Raw genomic sequence first — 21,028 nt, 5'->3', positions numbered from 1 at the left:
CGGACGTAGTGACGTAGCGCGCAGCCGCAGCGGGGGGCGGACTCTGGGCTTTTCTTCCCCTTCTGATTTTCCCCTCCCCCCTTTTCTCCCTTTCCGGGTTTGGTTCCCCCCTTTTCTTCCCCTCTCCCCCCTCCTTCCCAAGCCCCTTTCCCCTCCCCCGTCCCAGTCCCCCCTGCTTCCCAGCCCTCGGCCCCGGGGAAGCCCCGGCCGAGAAAAGCCCGCCCCCAGAAGCGCGCCGCCGCCGGCCGTCGGGGCCGAGCCGCAGCCGAGCGGCCGTGGGCCCGGGCGGCGGGCGGAGACGTGGGCGCCCTCCCCGCCAAGGCCCGTGCGAGGTGAGGCCACCTCCCGGCCGAGGGGGCGGGCGGCCCGGACGGCCTGTGGGGAGGGGGCGTGGCGGCCGCACGGGCGGGCGCGAGGAGGCCCCGCGGCCTGGGTTCCTCGCGCCCGGCAGCCGGTCCCGGGGACGATGGGTCAGGGTCGGATGGCCGCGGGAAGGACTGCTCCAAGTGTGCGCTGCTGGAGAGAAGCTGGGGGCGCGGGGCGGAGGGCGGCGGTGCGGGGGCAGGGGGGTGGCGCCACCTGTGGCCTTTGCGGGGTGACCTAAAAACTATTGCGCCCTTCCAGTGCTTCGGGGTGGCTAGCTCCGTGTGTTTCTTGGGTGGCGGTTTTCCTTCGAGCGTGGAGCATGGAAAAATAGGACGGAGAGGTGTAGAAGTGTTTAAAATCATGCTGGTGTCCAGGTTTCTTACAGGGACGGGGATTTGAGTTGGCACATACAGGGAGATGTTTCTATAGCTTAAAACTTGGGCCTACACTAAGCTCATAACTACTCGAGCCCCTGAAAACGCTTCGATTCGTTTTCCCGTAGAGCTAACATTTTTCAACATTTGTGGCCATTAAGTCTCGGAACTACCAGGAATACTGACTTAGAGTGAATTGTCATTGGATAATGATGAGAAATGACCGAATAACAATCCCAGAACTGCGTTAAAACGGAAGAAAGAAAAGTGGAAAAGTTTGAATTCAGATCCCAGTTGGATGAATATCCTTGTACATAATGTTGTTCAAATAGATAACTAAGATTGAGAAGCCTGAGTCCTGTCTGATATGCGTAAGCCACGTGGAGACTCAAGGAAGGAGGAAAGTGACAGGTTTCACTTCAGGAATATCACAAATTCCTAGCATTTTCTTGTATTTTTAGATAGATTTGCAGTTGAATTATTTGTGGCTCTTCTTCCTAATGCTTTTTTTTGTTGTTGTTCCACCAATATTCCCCCCCCACCCCCGCCCCCCTTTTTGTTGCTGGGGTATCAAGACAAAAGGTTGTATTTTGTTTTTTGAGACAGGGTCTCAGTCTGTCACCCAGAATGGAGTGTAGTGGTTCCTTTTCGGCTCAATGCAACCTCTGCCTCCTGGCCTCAAGCCGTCCTCCTACCTCAGTCCCCCAAGTAGCTGGGAGTACAGGCATGAGCCACCACTCCTGGCTGATTTTTGTAGAGACGGGTTTCACCTTGCTGCCCAGGCTGGTCTGGAACTCCTGGGCTCAAGTGATCCACCTGCCTTGGCCTCCCAAAGTGGTAGGCTTGAGCCACCGCGCCGGGAAAGACAAAAAGTTTAAATAGTGGTGAAAAGTGGCCGGTTAGATTAATTCAGTTCAGTTTTTAGTTGTATTTTTCTTACCCTGTTGCTGTTCTCCAGAGAGTTGAGAGAAAAGATAACTTTTTTCTTGAAGGCCTGATGAACTCCTAACAAGTTAAATTTCAGAGTTGAAGTTCCATTTGTCTTTGTGTCCATTATATGATTAGTAGAGCTTCACAATTTTTTTTTCGTAGGGATGGGATCTTGCTATGTTGCCCAGGCTGGTTTTGAACTCCTGGCCTCAAGTGATCCTCTGGCCTCAGACTCCCAAAAGCACTGGGATTACAGGCGTGAGCCATTGCTCTTGGCAGAGCTTCACAATGTAAAGTTTTAAAAAAATTTGACAAATAAAAATAGCATGCCTGACTGGCCGGGCACGGTGGCTCATGCTGTAATCGCAGCACTTTGGGAGGCGAAGGCAGGTGGATCACCTGAGGTCAGGAGTTTGAGACCAGCCTGGCCAACATGGTGGAACCCCGTCTCTACTAAAAATACAAAAAGTAGCCAGGCGTGGTGGCAGGCACCTGTAATCTCAGCTTCTTGGCAGGCTGAGGTGGGAGAATCATTTGAACCCAGGAGGCGGATTTTGCAGTAAGCCAAGATCGTGCCACTGTACTCCAGCCTAGGCAACAGAGCGAGAGACTGTCTCAAAAAAAAAAAAAAAATAATAGCATGCCTAATATTTTTTAATGGAAAATTAAGACAGGAGATGGCTTCCTTTCTCTTTCAAAATAAAAACCAATGTTACTTTTTGTTGTTGTTGTTCTTTCTCGCTATGTCACCCAGGGTGGAGCGCAGTGGTGCAATCTCGGCTCACTGCAAGCTCTGTCTCCTGGGTAAATGCCATTCTCCTGCCTCAGCCTCCTGGGTAGCTGGGACTACAGGTGCCCCCCCACCACGCCCCCCACCACACCCCCCACCATACCCGGCTAATGTTTTGTATTTTTAGTAGAGACGGGTTTCACTGTGTTAGCCAGGATGGTCTCGATCTCCTGACCTCGTGATCTGCCCACCTCGGCCTCCCAAAGTGCTGGGATTACAGGCATGAGCCACCGCGCCCAGCCAAACCAATCTTAGCTTTAAAGCTCTAGATCTGTGGCACCCTTTTCCCCTAACATGCACACTGGCCTCTGGCTGTTCCTTGAGCACACTAGGCACACTTCTGCCTCAGGGTCTATGCTCTTGTTTCCTCTTCCTGAGTTACTTTTCTCTTACAAAGCTGTGTAAGAGCATAGCCTGTCTGTCCCCTCATCTCCTTCAGGTCTTTACTCAAATTTCACTCTTTTTTTTTTTTGAGATGGAGTCTCGCTCTGTCACCCAGGCTGGAGTGCAGTGGCATGATCTCGGCTCACTGCAACCTCTACCTCCTGGGTTCAAGCGATTCTCCTGCCTCAGCCCCCTGAGTAGCTGGGATTACAGGTGCCTGCCACCATGCCTGGCTAATTTTTTTGTATTTTTAGTACACACAGGGTTTCACTATATGTTGGCCAGGCTGGTCTTCAACTCCTGACCCTAAGTGATCCACCCACCTCCACCTCCCAAAGTGTAATCCCAAAGTGTAGGGATTACAGGTGTGAGCCACTGCGCCTGGCCCAAATGTCACTCTTAACACTGATATTCCCTTGGCTATCTGGATGGCAAAGCCCCTCCTGCATACACATTTACATAACTCTCTATCCCCCTTTTCTGCTTTATTTTCTGCCTTAACCCTTATCAACCTATAACGTATTATATATTTTAATCTCCCCTAGTAGAAAGCTTCAGGGCCAGGCGCAGTGGCTCACACCTATAGTCCCAGCACTTTGGGAGGCCAAGGACGGGGCATCACCAGAGGTTAGAAGTTCGAGACCAGCCTGGCCAACATGGTGAAACCCCATCTCTACTAAAAATACAAAAATTAGCTGGGTGTGGTGGTACACGCCTGTAGTCCCAGCTACTTGGGAGGCTGAGGCAGGAGAGTGGCTTGAACCTGGGAGGCTGAGGTTGCAGTGAGCTGAGATCGTGCCACTGCACTCCAGCCTGGGCAACAGACTGAGACTTTGTCTCAAAAAAAAAAAAGCTTCAGGAGAGCAGGCATTTTTGTTTTATTTATTTTATTTTATTATTATTTATTTATTTTTTTTGAGACAGAACCTCTGTCTGTCGCCCAGGCTGGAGTGCAGTGGCACGATGTCAGCTCACTGCAACCTCCACCTCCCGGGTTCAAGTGATTGTCCTGCCTCAGCCTCCTGAGTAGCTAGGATTACAGGCACGCGCCACCACGTCCAACTAATTTTTGTATTTTTAGTAGAGATGGTGTTTCACCGTGTTGGTCAGGCTGGTCTTGAACTCCTGACCTGGTGATCCTCCTGCCTCGGCCTCCCAAAGTGCTGGGATTGTAGGCGTGAGCCTCTGTGCCCAGCCACATTTTTGTTTTATTAATTTCCGTATCCTCAGCACTTAGCACAGCACTTGATGTTCAGTAAAGTGCACAACAGATTTATTGACTGAGTAGGTAAGGAGGAGTTTTTTCCTTGAACTCTTTCCATGAATTTTTCATCGTGATTAGTTGTCCTTGGAAGGGTGGGATGGGTTTTCACTAGGAAAACCTGGTTTTCTAAGGTACTCATTGAGAGATGTTGAGATGTTTTTTCTGGGGATGTTTCTCTTTGGACAAACATCTCGTGCTTTGGGGCCATTGAATGAAAATACTCTGAGGGCAGAGAAGAGGATGGAGTGTGGAAGTCTTTGGTATTGGTAGTCTTATCTCAGATTTATTGTGGCTAGAATTTTTACCTACTTCATGCTCTTCCCTTGAGGTTTGTTCATGTCCCTTCCAAGACAAATATCACTCGTTACTTCTCTGACCCTACCTAGCTGAGCAGGCTGGTTCCACTTTGAGTTTTCAGTAGCCTGAAGATGTTAATATTTATAGTTCTGTCTTTATGGGCTAGTTCCTACCCTCAACCCCACCAATTCATGTAGAGACAGTTGAGCTTAAAAACTTTAAGAATAGGTTTCTCTAACAATGGTAGAATGTTCAGTTCTAGAGAACACTTGATCCTTTTTTCACAGATTGATTTTGGGGGGCATTTTTAGCAACTAAATCTATGCTAAGTTTGAGGATAAAAAGGAGCAGGCACCCTAAATTCTGTGGGTTATCCCTCATTTTATCTTTCCTTAATTAATTAATTAATTTATTTTTTTGAGATGGAGTCTCGCTCTGTCGCCCAAGCTGGAGTGCAATGGTGTGATCTTGGCTCACTGCAACCTCTGCCTCCTGGATTCAAGGGATTCTCCTACCTCAGCCTCCCAAGTAGCTGGGATTACAGGCATCGGCTACCACGCCTGGATAATTTTTGTATTTTTAGTAGATACAGGGTTCTGTCATGTTGGCCAGGCCACTCTCGAACTCCTAACCTCAGGTGATCTGCCCGCCTCGGCCTCCCGAAGTGCTGGGATTACAGGCATGAGCCACCGCGCCTGACCTATCTTTCCTTAGTTTCTTGGTTGGTACATTAGTTACCTCCATTGATCTTCCGGCTAGAGTAACCTGGATGAGATTTCTCTTTGGGGCGGTTTGGCTACTCTTCTTTAGCTCAGGAAGGCAAAGGGAGTGAAGTGTGCGTTTTTCGTTTTGAGAGAGTCTTGCTGTGTCTCCCAGGCTGGAGTGCAGTGTCCTGATTTCAGCTCACTACCACCTCCGCCTCCCAGGTTCAAGCGATTCTTCTGCCTCAACCTCCCAACTAGCTGGATTATAGCCACCCGCCATCATGCCCGGCTAATTTTTGTTTTTTTGTAGAGACAGGGTTTCACCATGTTGGCCAGGCTGGTCTTGGACTCCTGACCTCAGGTGATTCGCCTGCCTCGGCCTCCCAAAGTGCTGGGATTACAGTTGTGAGCTGCTACGCCCGGCCTGAAGTGTGCTTTTAACACTTTGTAGGAATGCTAGTGGCAAAGCTAAGGCTTTTGCTTAAACCTTTGCGAGGACATTGAAAGCTGCCAGGCCTAGGAGAGAACAGTTAATGGGAGGTGCAAGAATTGGGGATCTGCTATGCATTTGTCTGGACATAGTTCTGATATTATTAGTATAAAGAAATAACTGCATCTTCTAGAATTATATTAGTAGTTCTCATTTTGTGAATAATTTTTTTTTTTTTTTGAGACGGAGTTTCGCTCTTGTTGCCCAGGTTGGAGTGCAATGGCACGATCTCGGCTCACCGCAACTTCCACCTCCTGGGTTCAAGTGATTCTCCTGCCTCAGCCTCCCCAGTAGCTGGGATTACAGGCATGCGCCACCACACCTGGCTAATTTTGTATTTTTAGTAGAGGCAGGGTTTCTCCATGTTGGTCAGGCTGGTCTCGAACTCCCGAGCTCAGGTGATCCACCCACCTCAGCCTCCTGAAGTGCTGGGATTATAGGCGTGAGCCACCGCACCTGACTGAATAATTTCTTTTTATTTATTTATTTTTTTGAGACGGAGTCTCACTTTGTTGCCCAGGCTCATGTGACAAATTACAGTCAAAACTTTGTTTTACGTGCACCGTTATTAAAAATATTGTATAGGCTTGGCTTGGTGGTTCATACCTGTAGTGCAGCACTTTGGGAATCTGAGGCGGGAGGATTGCTTGAGCCCAGAAGTTTGCAGCTGCAGTGAGCTATGATTGTGCCACCATACTCTGGCCTGGGTGACAGAATGAGAGCCTGTCTCTTAAAAACCCCAAAAAGGCTAGGTTTTCAAAAAATACAGTTCATATTTTTGTTGGGCCTGTGTCTTTGTTGCGTATGACAATTGTAAGAATTTATGGTTTTTGTTTATGAGGAACAGTATGGGCATCAAGAAATCCTTGGTGTCTTGGAAAAGGGTGGGTCAGACTTGTGAAAGCTTACAGGATTAATAACAGAAGACTAGGAGGAAAGTAATTAAGGCAGTGACAATCCAAATTTAATGGTAGGTACATTTGAAATATATGGTCAGGTGTGGTGGCTCACGCCTGTAATTCCAGCACTTTGGGAGGCTGAGGCGGGTGGGTCACTTGAGGTCAGGAGTTCAAGACCAGCCTGGCTAACATAATGAAACCCCATCTCTGCTAAAAATACAAGACCTTAGCTGGGTGTTATGGTATCACATGCCTGTAATCCCAGCTACTCGGGAGGCTGAGGCACGAGAATTGCTTGAACCTGGAAGGCGGAAGTTGCAGTGATTGAGATCACGCCACTGTACTCCAGCCTGTAGCACTGTAGCAGGTGAATGTATACCCATGAGAAGTGTTCACTTACAGTTTCTTTGTTCCTTTTTTTTTTTTTTTTTTTTTTTTTGAGACAGAGTTTTGCTCTTGTTGCCCAGGCTGGAGTGCAATGGCGCGATCTTGGCTCACCGCAACCTCCGACTCCTGGGTCCAAGCGATTCTCCTGCCTCAGCCTCCCAAGTAGCTGGGATTACAGGCATGTGCCACCACACCTGGCTAATTTTGTATTTTTAGTAGAGATGGGTTTTCTCCATGTTGGTCAGGCTGGCCTCGAACTCCTGACCTCAGGTGATCTTCCCGCCTCAGCCTCCCAAAGGGCTGGGATTACAGGTGTAAGCCACTGCACCTGGCCTTTTTTTTTTTTTTTTTTTTTTTTAATTGAGACAGTCTTGCTCTGTTGCCCAGGCTGGAGTGCAGTGGTATGATATCGGCTTACTGCAACCTCCGTCTCCTGGGTTCAAGCAATCGCCTCAGCCTCCCGAGTAGCTGGGATTACAGGTGCCCGCCACCACGTCTGGCTAATTTTTGTATTTTTAGTAGAGATGGGGTTTCACCATGTTGGCCAGGGTGGTCTCAAACTCCCGGGCTCAGACAGTCCACCCGCCTCGGCCTCCCAAAGTGCTGGGCATGAGGCACCACGCCTGGCCCACTTAAAGTTTCTAATGCTGTTGGTAGAGACAGCTCCCAGCAACCATCAAAATCAATGGGAAGAATATGGGAGACCTTGTAAAATTTAACAGATCTCTTTTCTTTCTTTTTTTGAGACAGGGTCTTGCTCTGTTGCCCAGGCTGGAGTGCAGTGGCATGATGTCGACTCACTGCACCCTCCGCCTCCTGGGTTCAAGCAAGTCTCCCACTTTAGTCTTACAAGTAGCTGGGATTACAGGGGTGCGCCACCGTGCCTGGCTAATTTTTGCATTTTTAGTAGAGATGGGGGGTTTCACCATGTTTGCCAGCCTGGTCTTGAACTCCTGACCTTAGGTGATCCACCTGCCTTGGCCTCCCAAAGTGCTGGGATTACAGGCATGAGCCACCGCGCCCGGCCACAGATCTCTTTTCATCCTTTTCTTACTCTGTTGTTTTTGCAGCATTCATTACTGTTGACCCCTCTCCTTCTTCAAATATTTGGTGACGCTATACTTTTTTACTTGCTTTCCTGGCTCTTTTTCTCCTGCCCATTCTTCATTTATATATTTTTTTATTTTTATTTTTTATTTTGACACAGGGTCTTGCTCTGTTGTCCAGGCTGGAGTAAACTGGCATGATCATGACTCACTGCTGTCTCCACCTCCTGGGCTCAAGGCTCCCAAGTAGCTGGGACTACAGGTACACACCATCACATCCAGCTAATTTTATTTTTTAATTTTGTAGAGATGAGTTCTTCCTGTGTTGCCCAGGCTGGTCTTGAACGCTTGGGCTCAAGCAGTCGTCCTGTCCTGCCTTGGCCTCCCAAAGTGCTGGGATTGTAGATGTGAATTACTGCACCTGGCCCCTGTCCTTTAAATGTTCATTTTCCTGAAAGTTTCTGTTGTATTCTCCCTATCTCTCGTTCTTAAACCTAGTGGCATATGTATCTCTTGAAGGACTTATTAAGATTATGGCCTACAAAAACTCTTTATGATCTGGCCCCTGTCAGCCTTTCTGGCTTTTCCTTAACTACCTGGGAGTTAGCTAGGTGAAGTATGGGGAAGAAAGTTCTGGGGAGGCACTGCCTACGTAAATCATGGAGGTATAGAGCAAGGTAACAGAGTCTTTGCCAAACTGCACGGAATGGGATGAGGCTACATATGGGATTCTTGTGGGAATTACAGAAAAGACTAGAGAGGTACCTAGGTGCCTGATATTGAAGTCCTTATTTGATAGGCTAAAAAGTTCGAGTTTTGTCTTAAACTATGAAAGCTACTGAAGGATTTACTTTTTAAAAATATCTCTTATAGCAATTTGGAGACTGGATTGGAAAATAGACTGGAATTAGGGAGTCCAGTTTAGGGAGGATCACAATAATCTAGATAAGAAATAGGGTCTAAAGTAGTCATGCAAGTGCAGAGGGATAGATGGACTCAAAATTTTTTTTTTTTTTTTTTTTTTTTTGCTAGGCGGAGTCTCCCTCTGTCTCCCAGGCTGGAGTGCAGTGGCACATTTCGGCTCACTGCAACCTCTGCCTCCCGGGTTCAAGCGATTCTCCTGCCTCATCCTGAGTAGCTGGGATTACAGGTGCACGCCACCACACCCGGCTAATTTTTGTATTTTTAGTAGAGATGGGTTTCACCATGTTGGTCAGGTTGGTCGTGAACTCCTGATCTTAGGTGATCCGCCCCCCTTGGCCTCCCAGAGTGCTGGGATTACAGGCATGAGCCACCATGAGATATTTAATAGATAGGCTGGGTGTAGTGTCTCACACCTATAATCCAGCACTTTGGGAGGCTGAGGTGGGAGGATCTCTTGAGCCCAGTTCGAGACTAGCCTGGGGCAACTTAGTGAGAACCTGCCTCTAAAGAAATATAAGAAAAATTAGCTGGGCCTGGTGGCACACACCTATAGTCCCAGCTATTTGGGAGGCTGAGGTGGGAGGATTACCTAAACCTGGGAATCAAGGCTGCAGTAAGCCACAATCCCACCACATTGCACTCCAGCCTGAGCAATAGAGTGAGACCCTGTCTTTTACTACCCTTGATCTTAGCCAAAAGGCAGAGAAGTGATGACCCTGTCTTTAAAAAAAAAAAAAAAAAAAAAAGAGCTGGGTGTGGTCGCTTACGCCTGTAATCCCAGCACTTTGGGAGGCTGAGGTGGGCGGATCACCTGAGGTCGGGAGTTGGAGACCAGCTTGACCAACATGGAGAAACCCATCTCTACTAAAAATACAAAATTAGCCGGGAGTGGTTGTGCATGCCTGTAATCCCAGCTACTCGGGAGGCTGAGGCAGGAGAATTGCTTGAATCTAGTAGGCGGAGGTTGCTGTGAGCCGAGACACCAGCCTGGGCAACAAGAGCAAAACTCTGTCTCAGAAAAAAAAAAAAAAAAAAGAATCTGTTAGACATGGAGATGTGTACATGCGTGATTGACAAAGCTACAGAGCAAGAGAGAGGATAATAGTGGTAATGAGAAGGATGAGCTCTTGGATGACTTCTAGTTTTCTGGGTTCCATGCTAAGGTGGATAGTGACTTCCATTTATAAATTAGGGAATATAGGAAGATGCACGTTTGGGAACAAAAGATGAGATGTTTGGTTTTTGAATGGTTGAATTTGAGGTACCTGTGGAACCATATGGAAATGCCTGCTAGGTAGTTGGATATACCAGTCCAGAGTCAGAGAAGTTGGGACTGGAGAGAGATTTGGGAGTCAGCAGTATAGTAGTATATACGTTGTAGTTGAAGTGATGGTTTGGGTCAGCTAAGAGGCATGTTGAGACTGAAGAGCTGCAGGCTGAGGAGAGGACTTAGAGAACACTGGTAGTTAAAGGTGTGACTGGTGGAAGTGGAGCCCCAGAAGAAATCTGAGGAGGCCTAAAGATAGATGGAAAACTAGTAAAGCCTGGGCGCAGTGGCTCACGCCCGTAATCCCAATACTATGGGCCTAGGCGAGAGGATTACTTGAGGCCAGGAATTTGAGACCAGCCTGGGCAATATAATGAGACCTCATCTCTATTAAAAAAAAAAAAAAAAAAGAAAACCAGTAAAGTGTGTGTAATGAGAAGTAGGAGGAGTTTCAAGGAGGAGGAAGGCAGTAGTATCACAGGTGGTAGAAAGACCAAGTAGGATAAGGACAGAAAATAACTCACTGGATTTGACAGTCAGGTCATTGGTGTCTTCAGTGAGAGCAGGGTCATTAGAATGATGATAACATTTTGAGGAATAAATGGGAGGAGAGAAAAAACAAACTTTGTCTTTCAAGATGACTGCAAAGAGATGGAGAGAGAGGACAGTAATTAGAGGGAATGTGCAAGGAAGAGTTTTTTAAGATGACAAACTCGAGCATATTTATATATACAGGAGAATGAACAAGACAATACAGAGCCATGATAACAGAATGAAGTTCTTGAGCCTGCAGAGAAGATGCAATCTAAAGTAGGGGTAGAATTATTATCCCCTTCATTAAGAGAAGGAAAAGGTCAGGAAAGGGGTGGGGAGAAATGTTTGGTATCTAAACAAAGGAATTTGAGAGAGTTTCTGCCTTATGACCTTTATATTACTTGTGATGTAGGAGACTTATTTTTTTGGGTCAGGGAGCTGATGTCTTAGCGTAAGGCAGGTTGGTTGAATAGGGGCCTTGAGAAGAGAGGCAAGTTCGAATAGCTGTTGAGAGAGTGGGAGAGATAGCTGCTGAGGGTACTTGTATGGCTAGGCAGGCAAAGATATCATGGGGTAGTGTAAAGGTGGGGGAGCATTTCAAGCAGATACAATAGCCTGGGCAAAGACCTAGAGGTATTAAAGAATATGGTATGAGGCTGGGCACGGTGGCTTACACCTGTAATCCTAGTGCCTTGGGAGGTCAAGGCGGGAGAATTACATCATGTCAGGAGTTTGAAAGCAATCTGGGCAACATTGTGAGACACCCACCTCTACCAGAAGTTAAAGCAATTAGCTGGATGTGGTGGCATGCACCTTTTATCCCAGCTACTTGAGAGATAGGTGGGAGGATCACTTGAGCCCAGGAGTTTGAGGTTGCAGTGAGCTATGATTGCACCACTGTACCCCAGGCTGGTCAACAGAGTGAGACCCTGTCTCTAAAAAAAAAAAAAGATGGCCAGATACAGTGGCTCATGCCTGTAATCTCAGCACTTTGGGAGGCTGAGGCGGGCAGATCATGAGATCAGGAGTTCAAGACCAGCCTGGCCAACCTGATAAAACCCTGTCTCAACTAAAAATACAAAAAATTAGCCAGGCATGGTGGCACTTGCCTGTAATCGTAGGTGCTGGGGAGGCTGAGGCACAAGAATCTCTTGAACCCTGGAGGCGGAGGTTGCAGTGAGCCGAGATCACTCCACTGTACTCCAGCTTGGGTGACAGAGCAAGAATCCGTATCAAAAAAAAAAAAAAAAAGGAAAGGAGAATATGGATGGTATATATGGGGCAGTATTTTGAATGACTGAAGAGAAAGATATATTTAGGGCCTGATTTTATGGTGGGCTTTACAAGCTATATTAAGAAATTTGGCATATGAGACAAAGGTGAACTGAAGATTTTTAATCAGAGAAATGAAATGATTATTTTGTATTTTACAAAGGAAACTGGCAGCAATTTGAAGAAATACTTATACTGGATTTAGAGTAGAGGGAGTGACACTGGTTAGGAGGCTATTGTAGTCTATATAAGAGATACTGAGGCCGAGTGCAGTGACTCATGCCTGTTATCCCAGGACTTTGGGAGGTTAAGGCGGGCAGATCACCTGAAGTCAGAGTTTGAGATCACTATGGCCAATATGGTGAAACCCCATCTCTACCAAAAATACACACAAAAAATTAGCTGGGCGTGGTGGTGGGTGCCTGTAATCCCAGCTACTGGGGAGGCTGAGGCAGGAGAATCACTTGAACCGGGGAGACAGAGGTTGCGGTGAGCTGAGATCGCACCACTGTACTCCAGCCTGGACGACAGAGACTCCATTTACAAAAAAAAAAAAAAAGAAGATATCAAAGTCAGGGTAGCCTAGAGTATGCTGGGTAAAAAACAGTCTCCATATCTCAGTAGCTTGAAACAATTAGTTTCCTTTCCACTGTCACTACATGTCCATCAAAGATAGGCTAAAGACTTTTAGTTGTACAAGGACAAAGACCAACGGCAGCCTGCGCAACCACCGTTGGGAATATTGCCAGTTGCTCTGCTGAAGGCAAAAGAAAGCTCTGGAGGCCTTGCCCCGTTAACTAAATGTTCTGCGCAGAAGTAATGAGAATAGAGGAGAGGAATCAGAGCTGAAAAGAGCAGATGAATGTGAGATGGTTCCAGAATTTGGAGATTGTTTAAATGTGGGAAGAGGGGAGGAATTGTGGATGGATGACGCTCAGGTTTGTGTCTTGGGCAAACTGGGTGGTGTTGCTTACTGAGATAAGAAAAGGGTAGGTTTGGGATTAGAGGAAATGTTGGTAGAGAGTTCACTTTTGGAAATGTCTAGCAGCTAGTTGTCTAAATGGATCTGGAGTGCTAGAGAGAGGCAGGGGTATTTAGATTTGGAAGTAGTCTCCACAAGAAGGTTTAATCTGTGATAGGGAACAGGGTTACTCAGGGCAAACTTAAGAAAGTGATAGGAGAGTTGACATCGAGCCCCAGGAAATACCAGAATTTTAGGAACACTCCTGGCCTGATAGCATTGGATTTTAATGTTAAGATTGACATTTTTGGGACCAAGGTAGCCTATGCCCATTCCTGACAGATAACCCAGTAATATTTTGAGGAAGGAGCAAACATAAGCTGGTAAGCTACATTTCCCATCACGTGCTATATTCTTTAGAGAATGTTAGTTCTCACTTACTTGTGCCAGTGGAGGACTGTTATTGGTCCTTGGATGGAATGCATTATAATTCTTTGATTTTGGATATATTTGGCAAAAATTTTGACAGTGACCTGTAAGTTGCCAAGACATACAAAAAAAGAACAAATAATGTGATAATGTCATGGGAGTATAGTAACAAATTATACATATTAGATCATTTAATCCTCAGAATAATAATCCTCATGGAATAGTATTGTATTATTCCCATTTCACAGTGAGGCTTAGGGAAGTTAGGTTAGATTATATGACCATCATCATGTGGCCAGGATATAAACCCAGTTTCATGTGGAAGTCTCTCTCTTTTTTTTTTTTTTTTGAAATGGAATTTTGCCCCGTAGCCCAGGCTGGAGTGCAGTGGCGGGATTTCTACTCACTGCAACATCCGGTTCCTGGGCTCAATCGATTCTCCTGCCTCAGCCTCCCAAGTAGCTGGGATTACAGGCCTAATTTTGTATTTTTAGTAGAGATGGGGATTTACCATGTTGGTCAGGCTGGTCTCAAACTCTTGACCTAAGGTGATCCACCCACCTTGGCCTCCCAAAGTGCTGGGATTACCTAGGCTTTTTTTGTTTTTGTTGTTGTTGAGACAGAGTCTCATTCTGTCGCCCAGGCTGGAGTGCAGTGGTGGGATCTCGGCTCACTGCAACCTCCGCCTCCTGGGTTCAAGCAATTCTCTTGTCTCAGCCTGCCTCAGCTTCCTGAGTAGCTGGGACTACAGGTGCCCGCCACCACGCCTGGCTAATTTGTATTTTTAGTAGAGATGGGGTTTCACCATGTTGGCCAGGCTGGTCTTGATCTCCTGACCTCATGACCTGCCCTCCTTGGCCTCCCAAAGTGCTGGGATTACAAGTGTGAGTCACCATGCCCAGCTGGCTTTTTTTTGTGGGGCGGGGGGGACAGAGTCTCACTCTGTTGCCCAGGCTGGAGTGCAGTGGCGCAGTCTCAGCTCACTGCAACCTCCGCCTCTCAGATTCAAGTGATTTTCCTGCCTCATCCTCTCGAGTAGCTGGGACTACAGGCATGTGCCACCACTGCCGGCTAATTTTTTGTATTTTTAGTAGAGACAGGGTTTCACCTTGTTGCCCAGGCTGGTCTTGAACTCCTGGGGCTGAATCAGCCCTTCTCATCCTCCCAGTGTTAGGATTGCAGGTGTGAGTCATTGTGCCTGGCCTGAAGTCTGTGCTTTTAACCCTCATCTCAAATTGCCTTTTAGGACAGGGCAAGTTTCTATTGGGCAGCCAAGTATTTTGGTTAATGTTGCTTCTTGTTCTTTTTGGCTCCAACATTTTATTTAGAAGAATTTCAAACCTATAGGAAAGGTAGAGGAATGATACAGTGGACACTGGTATGACATTTACCTGTATTTACCAATTGATAATATTTTGCCACATTTGTATGTTTGTTCTCTCCCTTCCTCTTTTTCTCTTCCTCTCTCCCTCTCACTTTTTCCCTCTCCTCTCTTTGCTCCCTCCCTACATACATAGTACACACACAGTTTTTTGTGTTACTGTATATTAGGAATTTTTATTCACGTATTAGGAAATAAATTACAGACATCAGGATACCTCACTCCATAATTTCTTAAGCATGTATCACCTGAGAACAGTGGTGTTTTCCACAATACCATTATTAAGTTCACTATCACATTCAAAATATTTTACAGTGATATAATAATATTATAAACAGTCCATATTTAAATTTCTTCAGTTATCTCAACATGCTTTACAACTTACCCCCACAATCCTGGATTCCTTCAAGGAACATGTGTTGCATTTAATTGTTGTATGTTTGTAGTCTCTTTTAACCTAGAGCAGTTCTCTTCTGTTTTTTTTGTTTTTCATGTCATTAATATTTTTGAAGTGTCCAGGCCGATTGTTTTGAAGAATGTTGTACAATTTGAATTTGTCATGATTAGATTCAAGTCAAATATACTTGGCAAGAATACTACCCAGGTGATGTTGTGTGCACATAATGTGACTTTATCTCATTATTGATAATGTTAACTTTGATCACTTGGTTAAATTGATGTCTGCTTGGTTAAATTGAAGTCTGCTTGGTTAAATTGATATCTGCTAGATTTCTTCATTGTAAAGGAATCTTTCTGCTTTTTTTTTTTTTTTCCACCCCTGGCCTTGTGATGTTGGATCCTTTTCCTTTGGTAAAAATTAAGAAACAGCTGTGGGATGATACTTTTAAGATTTTGGGTCTCTTTTCCTCCACAACCTTTTACCCAGTGACATTAGCATCCATTGATGATCCTTGTCTGAAGCTGTTGTACTAGTGGTTTCTTTTTTCCTTTTTTAATAGAATGCTTCATTAATTTGCATGTTATCCTTGGTCAGGGGCCATGCTAAATCTTCTCTGTATCAGTCCAATTTTAGTATATGTGCTGTGGAAGCGAGCACCACTGGTGCTTTGAATATGTTGATTTTCACATTCTCTCATTCCCTCTGCATTTACGGCTGGTATTGTTCTAAAGAGAAGAGCTTTTCTCCTCCCTTATGTTTTTGAGGATAACTATAGATTTGATAGTTCAAAAAAATTCAACAAGTTACAATCCATTACTGTTAGTATTAAAAGTACCAATAATATTCATTATTAGAAATATAAAAATTGTCTTAAATTTGATTCGAAGGGGCTTGAGGGAGCTCCTTCAAGCTGGCTGCTTTGTCCTTTTGACATCCCTGTCATGTTTTGAGCACTTCCTTACACTCTGGCACAACAAGGGGTTCTGCGCTCACTTTGTATTTTACTTGCCCCAGACCTAGAATCAATTGTTTCTTTAAGGAATCCTGATTCCTTGAATGGGGAATGGTTCCTATAAAGAGAAATTGCTTCTCATTCTTTTCTTTTGTATTTTTTTTTTTTTGACAAAGTTTTGCTCTTGTCACCCAGGCTGGAGTGCAGTGGTGTGATGTTGGCTCACTGCAACCTCCTCCTACTGGGTACAAGTGATTCTCCTGCCTCAGACTCCCGAGTAGCTGGGATTCAAGGCACTTGCCATGCCCAGCTAATTTTTGTATTTTTAGTAGAGATGGGGTTTTGCCATGTTGGCCAGGCTGGTCTCGAACTCCTGACCTCAGCTGAGCTGATCTCTCTGCCTCGGCCTCCCAAAGTGCTGGGATTATAGGCGTGAGACACCGCACCCGGCCTGCTTCTCATTCTTAATTCTCTGTTTTTGGTTTTTTCGTTTTTTTTTTTTTTTTTTTTTTTTAATGGAGTCTTTCTCTTTGCCCAGGCTGGAGTGCAGTGATGTGATCTCAGCTTACTGCAACTTTGCCTCCCAGGTTCAAGCAGTTCTCATGCCTCAGCCTTCCCAGTAGCTAGGATGACAGGTGCGCATCACCATGCCCAGCTAGACTAATTATTGTATTTTTAGTAGAGATGGGGTTTCACCATGTTGGCCAGGCTGGTCTCGAAGTTCTGACCTCAAGTGATCAGCCCGCCTCAGCCTCCCAGAGTGCTGGGATTACAGGCATGAGCCCCTGTGTCTGGCCTATTCTTTGTTATTTTTATGAGATTAGTTATTTGTAGTAAAAAAAAGATAGAGTGGGCTGGGCAAGGTGGCTCACGCCTGTGATCCCAGCACTCTGGGAGGCTGAGGTGGGTGGATCATTTGAGGTCAGGAGTTCAAGACCAGCCTGACCAACATGATGAAACCCGCTCTCTACTAAAAATACAAAAAAATTTAGCTGGGTATGGTGGTGTGTGCCTGTAATCTCAGCTACTCAGGAGGCTGAGGCGGGAGAATCACTTGAACTTGGGAGGCGGAGGTTGCAGTGAGCTGAGACCGTGCCACGTACTCCAGCCTAGGTGACAGCGTGAGACTCCATCTCAAAAAAAAAAAAAAAAAGGGGGGGGATTACAGATCTAAGACTCTCTGTGTCTTCCCAGATGTGCTTGAGCAATAAAGTGTCTAACCTGAGTTTGTTTTTTTTGTTGTTGTTGTTGTTGTTTTTTCCTTGAGAATGGAGTCTTGCTCTGTCACCCAGGCTGGAGTACAGTGGTGCGATCTCGGCTCATTGCAGCCTCCACCTCCTGAGTTCAAGTGATTCTCCTGCTTCAGCCTCCTGAGTAGCTGGGATTACAGGTGCCCGCCACCATGCCTGGCTAATTTTTGTATTTTTAGTACAGAAGGGGTTTCACCATGTTGGTCAGGCTGGTCTTGATCTCCTGACTTCAAGCGATCTGCCCGCCTCCGCCTCCCAAAGTGCTGGGATTACAGGCATGAGCCACTGTGCCCAGCCTGCTTTTTTTTTTTTTTTTTTTTTTAAATAGAAGGTTGCACTATATTGGCCCGGCTGGTCTTGAACTCATGGGCTCAAGCGATTCTCCCACCTCAGCATCCCAAAGTGTTGGGAGTACAGACATGAGCTACCATGCCTAGCCTTAACCTGAATTATTTCACATAATGAAGTGATTTATGAGTAGTTATGGTGACTTGCCATGGGAGATGGGATATTGCACAGAAGATTGGCATTGTATTGCTTTTTTTTCACCTAATTTGGTGGTGACATAAGTTTTCTTTTTCTTTTTCTTCTTTTTTTTGAGACAGAGTCTCACTCTGTTGTCCAGGCTGGAGTGTAGTGGCATGATCTTAGCTCACTGCAACCTCTGCCTTCTGGGTTCAGGCAATTCTCCTGCCTCAGCCTCCTAAGTAGCTGGACTACAGGCACATGCCACCACGCCTGGCTAATTTTTTTTTGTATTTTTAGTAGAGGCGGGGTTTCACTGTGTTAGCCAGGATGGTCTCGATCTCCTGACCTCGTGATCCGCCCACCTCGGCCTCCCAAAGTACTGGGATTACAGGCGTGAGCCACTGCACCCGGCCCGTGCCTGGCTAATTTTTTGTGTGTTTTTAGTAGAGAGGGGTTTCACCATGTTGGCCAGGCTGGTCTCGAACTCCTGACCTTGTGATCTGCCCGCCTCGGCCTCCCAAAGTGCTGGGATTACAGATGTGAGCCACTGCGCCTGGCCAAAAATACATTTTCATATCCCTCTTATGCTCAGGTAATCCAGGCTGTAGTCACTTAAGAGTTGTTTCCCTCTTTATATCTTCTGCTCTCTGAATTAAAATATTCTTAGGTAGGGAATCTTCTCAACCCAGACCTTTAATACTTTGTGGGTTTTGTGTGTTTGTTTGTTTTAATTTTTTCTTTGAGACAGAATCTCACTCTGTTGCCCAGGCTGGAGTGCAGTAGTGTGATCTTGGCTCGTTGCAGCCTCCGCCTCAGGTTCAAGTGATTCTCCCACCTCAGCCTCCCAAGTAGCTGGGATTACAGGCGTGTGCCACCATGCTTGGCTAATTTTTTTGTATTTTTAGTAGGGACAAGGTTTCACAATGTTGGTCAGGCTAGTCTTGAACTCCTGATCTCAAGTGATTCGCCCCCCTTGGCCTCCCAAAGTGCTGGGATTACAGGCATGAGCCACCGCGCCCGGCCAATACTTTGTGTTTTGAACCTGCTTCTTGCATTCATCTGCATATATATTTTACATATTGATCTGTGAATACAATCTAGAACTCATATGAAGTTAGGATGTGTATTTGTCTGTTCTCACACTGTTATAAAGAAATGCTGGAGACTGGGTAATTTATAAAGAAAAGAGGTTTAATTGACTCACAGTTTCGAATGGCCAGGTAGGCCTCAGGAAACTTAAAATTATGGTGGAAGAAAAAGCAGGCATGTCTTACATGGCAGCAGGTGAGAGAGCATGTGAAGGAAGCAAAGGGGGAAGAGCCCCTTACAAAACCATCAGCTCTTGTGAGAACTCGCTGACTATCACAATAACAGCATGGGGGAAACCACCCCTATGATCCAGTCACCTCCCACCAGGTCTCTCCGTCAACACCCAGGTATTACAATTCAGGGTGATATTTGGGTGGGGATACAAAGCCTAACCATATCGGGGTGTTCAATGTATTGAATGTTTCTGTTGGAGCATAGTTTTATGGTTCTTGATGAGGTCTCATGTTTTAGAAAGTCCAAAATAGTATTAGTCTTGGAATTGGGATCTGGTATATCAAAATCACTTCTTATTCAACAGCTTGAGAATGTACTGCTCTGGGACTCTACATGAAACCAGACATGTCAGTCTTGTCCACAAAAATATTTTGCACTGAAGGTGAAACCCATTAAATGTATCTGCATATTCCTTTGATGTGGAAACATATAAATAAGCTGCACAGAAGGTGATGATGTGTTAGTAACATGTTCCTTTGAAATAGTTACAATTCTGCATATTAGGCCATGGCTCATGCCTGTAATCCCAACACTTTAGGAGGCTGAGGCAGGTGGATCACTTGAGGTCAGGAGTTTGAGACCAGCCTGGTGAACATGGTCTCTACTGAGAATACAGAAATTAGCTGAGTGTGATGGTGGACACTTGTAATCCCAGCTACTCAGGAGGCTGAGGTTGCAGACAGCCAAGATCACACCACTGCACTCCATCTAGCCTGGGCAACAGAGTGAGATGCTGTCTCAAAAAAACAAACAAAAATCCTGCATATTATTGCTATTGAGGAAGTATAAAATATTGTTTTGATGGGGGAAGTTGGTCATTTTCAGACATTTTAGCTGGTATTTTAATTAACTTACTAACTTATTAGTTGTGTGCCTTATATATTCTTTTGTTTTATGTGGATGACTGCTCTAAGATTACTTAATAAATGAGCTGCCTGGTAACATAAATTGCAGATATTAAGATGAATTGTATGCTTTCCCATTATTTCTGTTACTTGGCCAAATTAGAACCATGTAGAGCTCTCCTGTAGAATTGAAATCCACTATTTTTTCCCTACTGTCTCTCCAAATTATACTTTATAAATAGAATTTCTTTTTATTTATTTAGAGACAGAGTCTTGCTCTGTCACTCAGGCTGTAATACAGTGGTGCCATCATGGCTCACCATAGCTTCAACCTCTGTGGCTCAAGCGATCCTTCTGCCTCATCCTCCCACATAGCTGAGACTACAGGCACACACACCATGACTGGCTAATTTTTTAATTTTTCTGCAGAGACAGGGTCTTGCCATGTAGCCCAGGCTGGTCTCAAACTCCTGGCCTCAGGCGATCTTCCTGCCTCAGCCTCTCAAAGTGTCGGAATTATAGGCGTGAACCATTGTGCCTGGCCACTAAACATACTTCTTAATAAATATACTTCTTAACACTTCACCTGGATGGATGAGGCAATACATTTGAGCTTGAGATCAGGTGAGCCTTACACTTGGGTGCTTGTGGGAGAATTTTATGATGCTGGAATTGTTTTGCATGTATTGAATTCAGACTAGAGTTTATGTAGGATACTTTGAGGAGAACCTTAGTAATTCCATGTATGTTTAGCTGTTCATGAAATGTGAAGTTTTTTTTTTTTTTTTTTTTTTTTAAGGTTATACTACCTCCCTGGTAATGTGAAGATCTATTGATGTATTAATAGTTGGTAGAGCCTCAACACAAGAAATGGCAGATAAAAGGAATGGTTATGTTGAGTAATTCATTTAAATGAAAAATAAGTTAAAATAGAGTAAGATTACACATACAAAGTGAATATGATATGTTTACCACCTGATTTGGTATTTGGAAAAGTAGGATCTTGTTGCTACTATAGCAAGAAATTTTAGGGACAGTAGAAAAAAATGCTAAACATTTATTAACCAACAAAAATAATTCATAAAAATGGA

At 45.3% G+C, this 21,028-nt stretch overlaps 1 protein-coding gene and 1 pseudogene across 38 annotated transcripts in view, besides 3 other annotated features; one reads left to right on the top strand and one right to left on the bottom strand.

Annotated features, from left to right (window-relative positions):
• R3HDM2 (R3H domain containing 2) overlaps positions 1–21,028 on the top strand; it is a 177,378-nt gene that overhangs the window by 90 nt on the left and 156,260 nt on the right. For 22 of the 38 annotated variants that reach the window (NM_001351217.2, NM_001351213.2, XM_047428529.1 and 19 more), the window contains exon 1: positions 9–332. The exons of 2 other annotated variants lie outside the window; for them this stretch is intronic. Coding sequence is in view for 13 of the 36 variants with exons in the window: in XM_047428518.1 (XP_047284474.1) it covers positions 467–508 (42 nt within the window). In the remaining 23 variants the exon portion in view is untranslated. Of the gene's footprint in view, positions 1–8; positions 333–406; positions 509–8,092; positions 8,194–21,028 lie in introns of those variants that run through there. 14 more of the 38 variants (XM_047428522.1, XM_024448885.2, XM_047428526.1 and 11 more) reach the window with 3 other exon arrangements.
• Positions 108–577: a silencer, noted in NCBI's record as "silent region_4580". NCBI's record gives its function as "represses an Ori minimal core promoter by ATAC-STARR-seq in GM12878 lymphoblastoid cells {active_cell/tissue: GM12878}" and the evidence as "EXISTENCE:reporter gene assay evidence [ECO:0000049][PMID:35858748]".
• Positions 758–867: an enhancer, noted in NCBI's record as "active region_6535". NCBI's record gives its function as "activates an Ori minimal core promoter by ATAC-STARR-seq in GM12878 lymphoblastoid cells {active_cell/tissue: GM12878}" and the evidence as "EXISTENCE:reporter gene assay evidence [ECO:0000049][PMID:35858748]".
• Positions 10,520–10,720: a silencer, noted in NCBI's record as "peak1746 fragment used in MPRA reporter construct". NCBI's record gives its function as "represses an SCP1 promoter by STARR-seq MPRAs in K562 erythroleukemia cells {active_cell/tissue: K562}" and the evidence as "EXISTENCE:reporter gene assay evidence [ECO:0000049][PMID:32103011]".
• RNU6-879P (RNA, U6 small nuclear 879, pseudogene) lies at positions 15,649–15,756 on the bottom strand (annotated as a pseudogene).

Source organism: Homo sapiens, chromosome 12, assembly GCF_000001405.40.
Source record: "Homo sapiens chromosome 12, GRCh38.p14 Primary Assembly".
Lineage (NCBI taxonomy): Eukaryota > Metazoa > Chordata > Mammalia > Primates > Hominidae > Homo > Homo sapiens.
The sequence above is the reverse complement of the archived record's forward strand: the minus strand, read 5'-3'. Positions and strand labels throughout refer to the sequence as shown.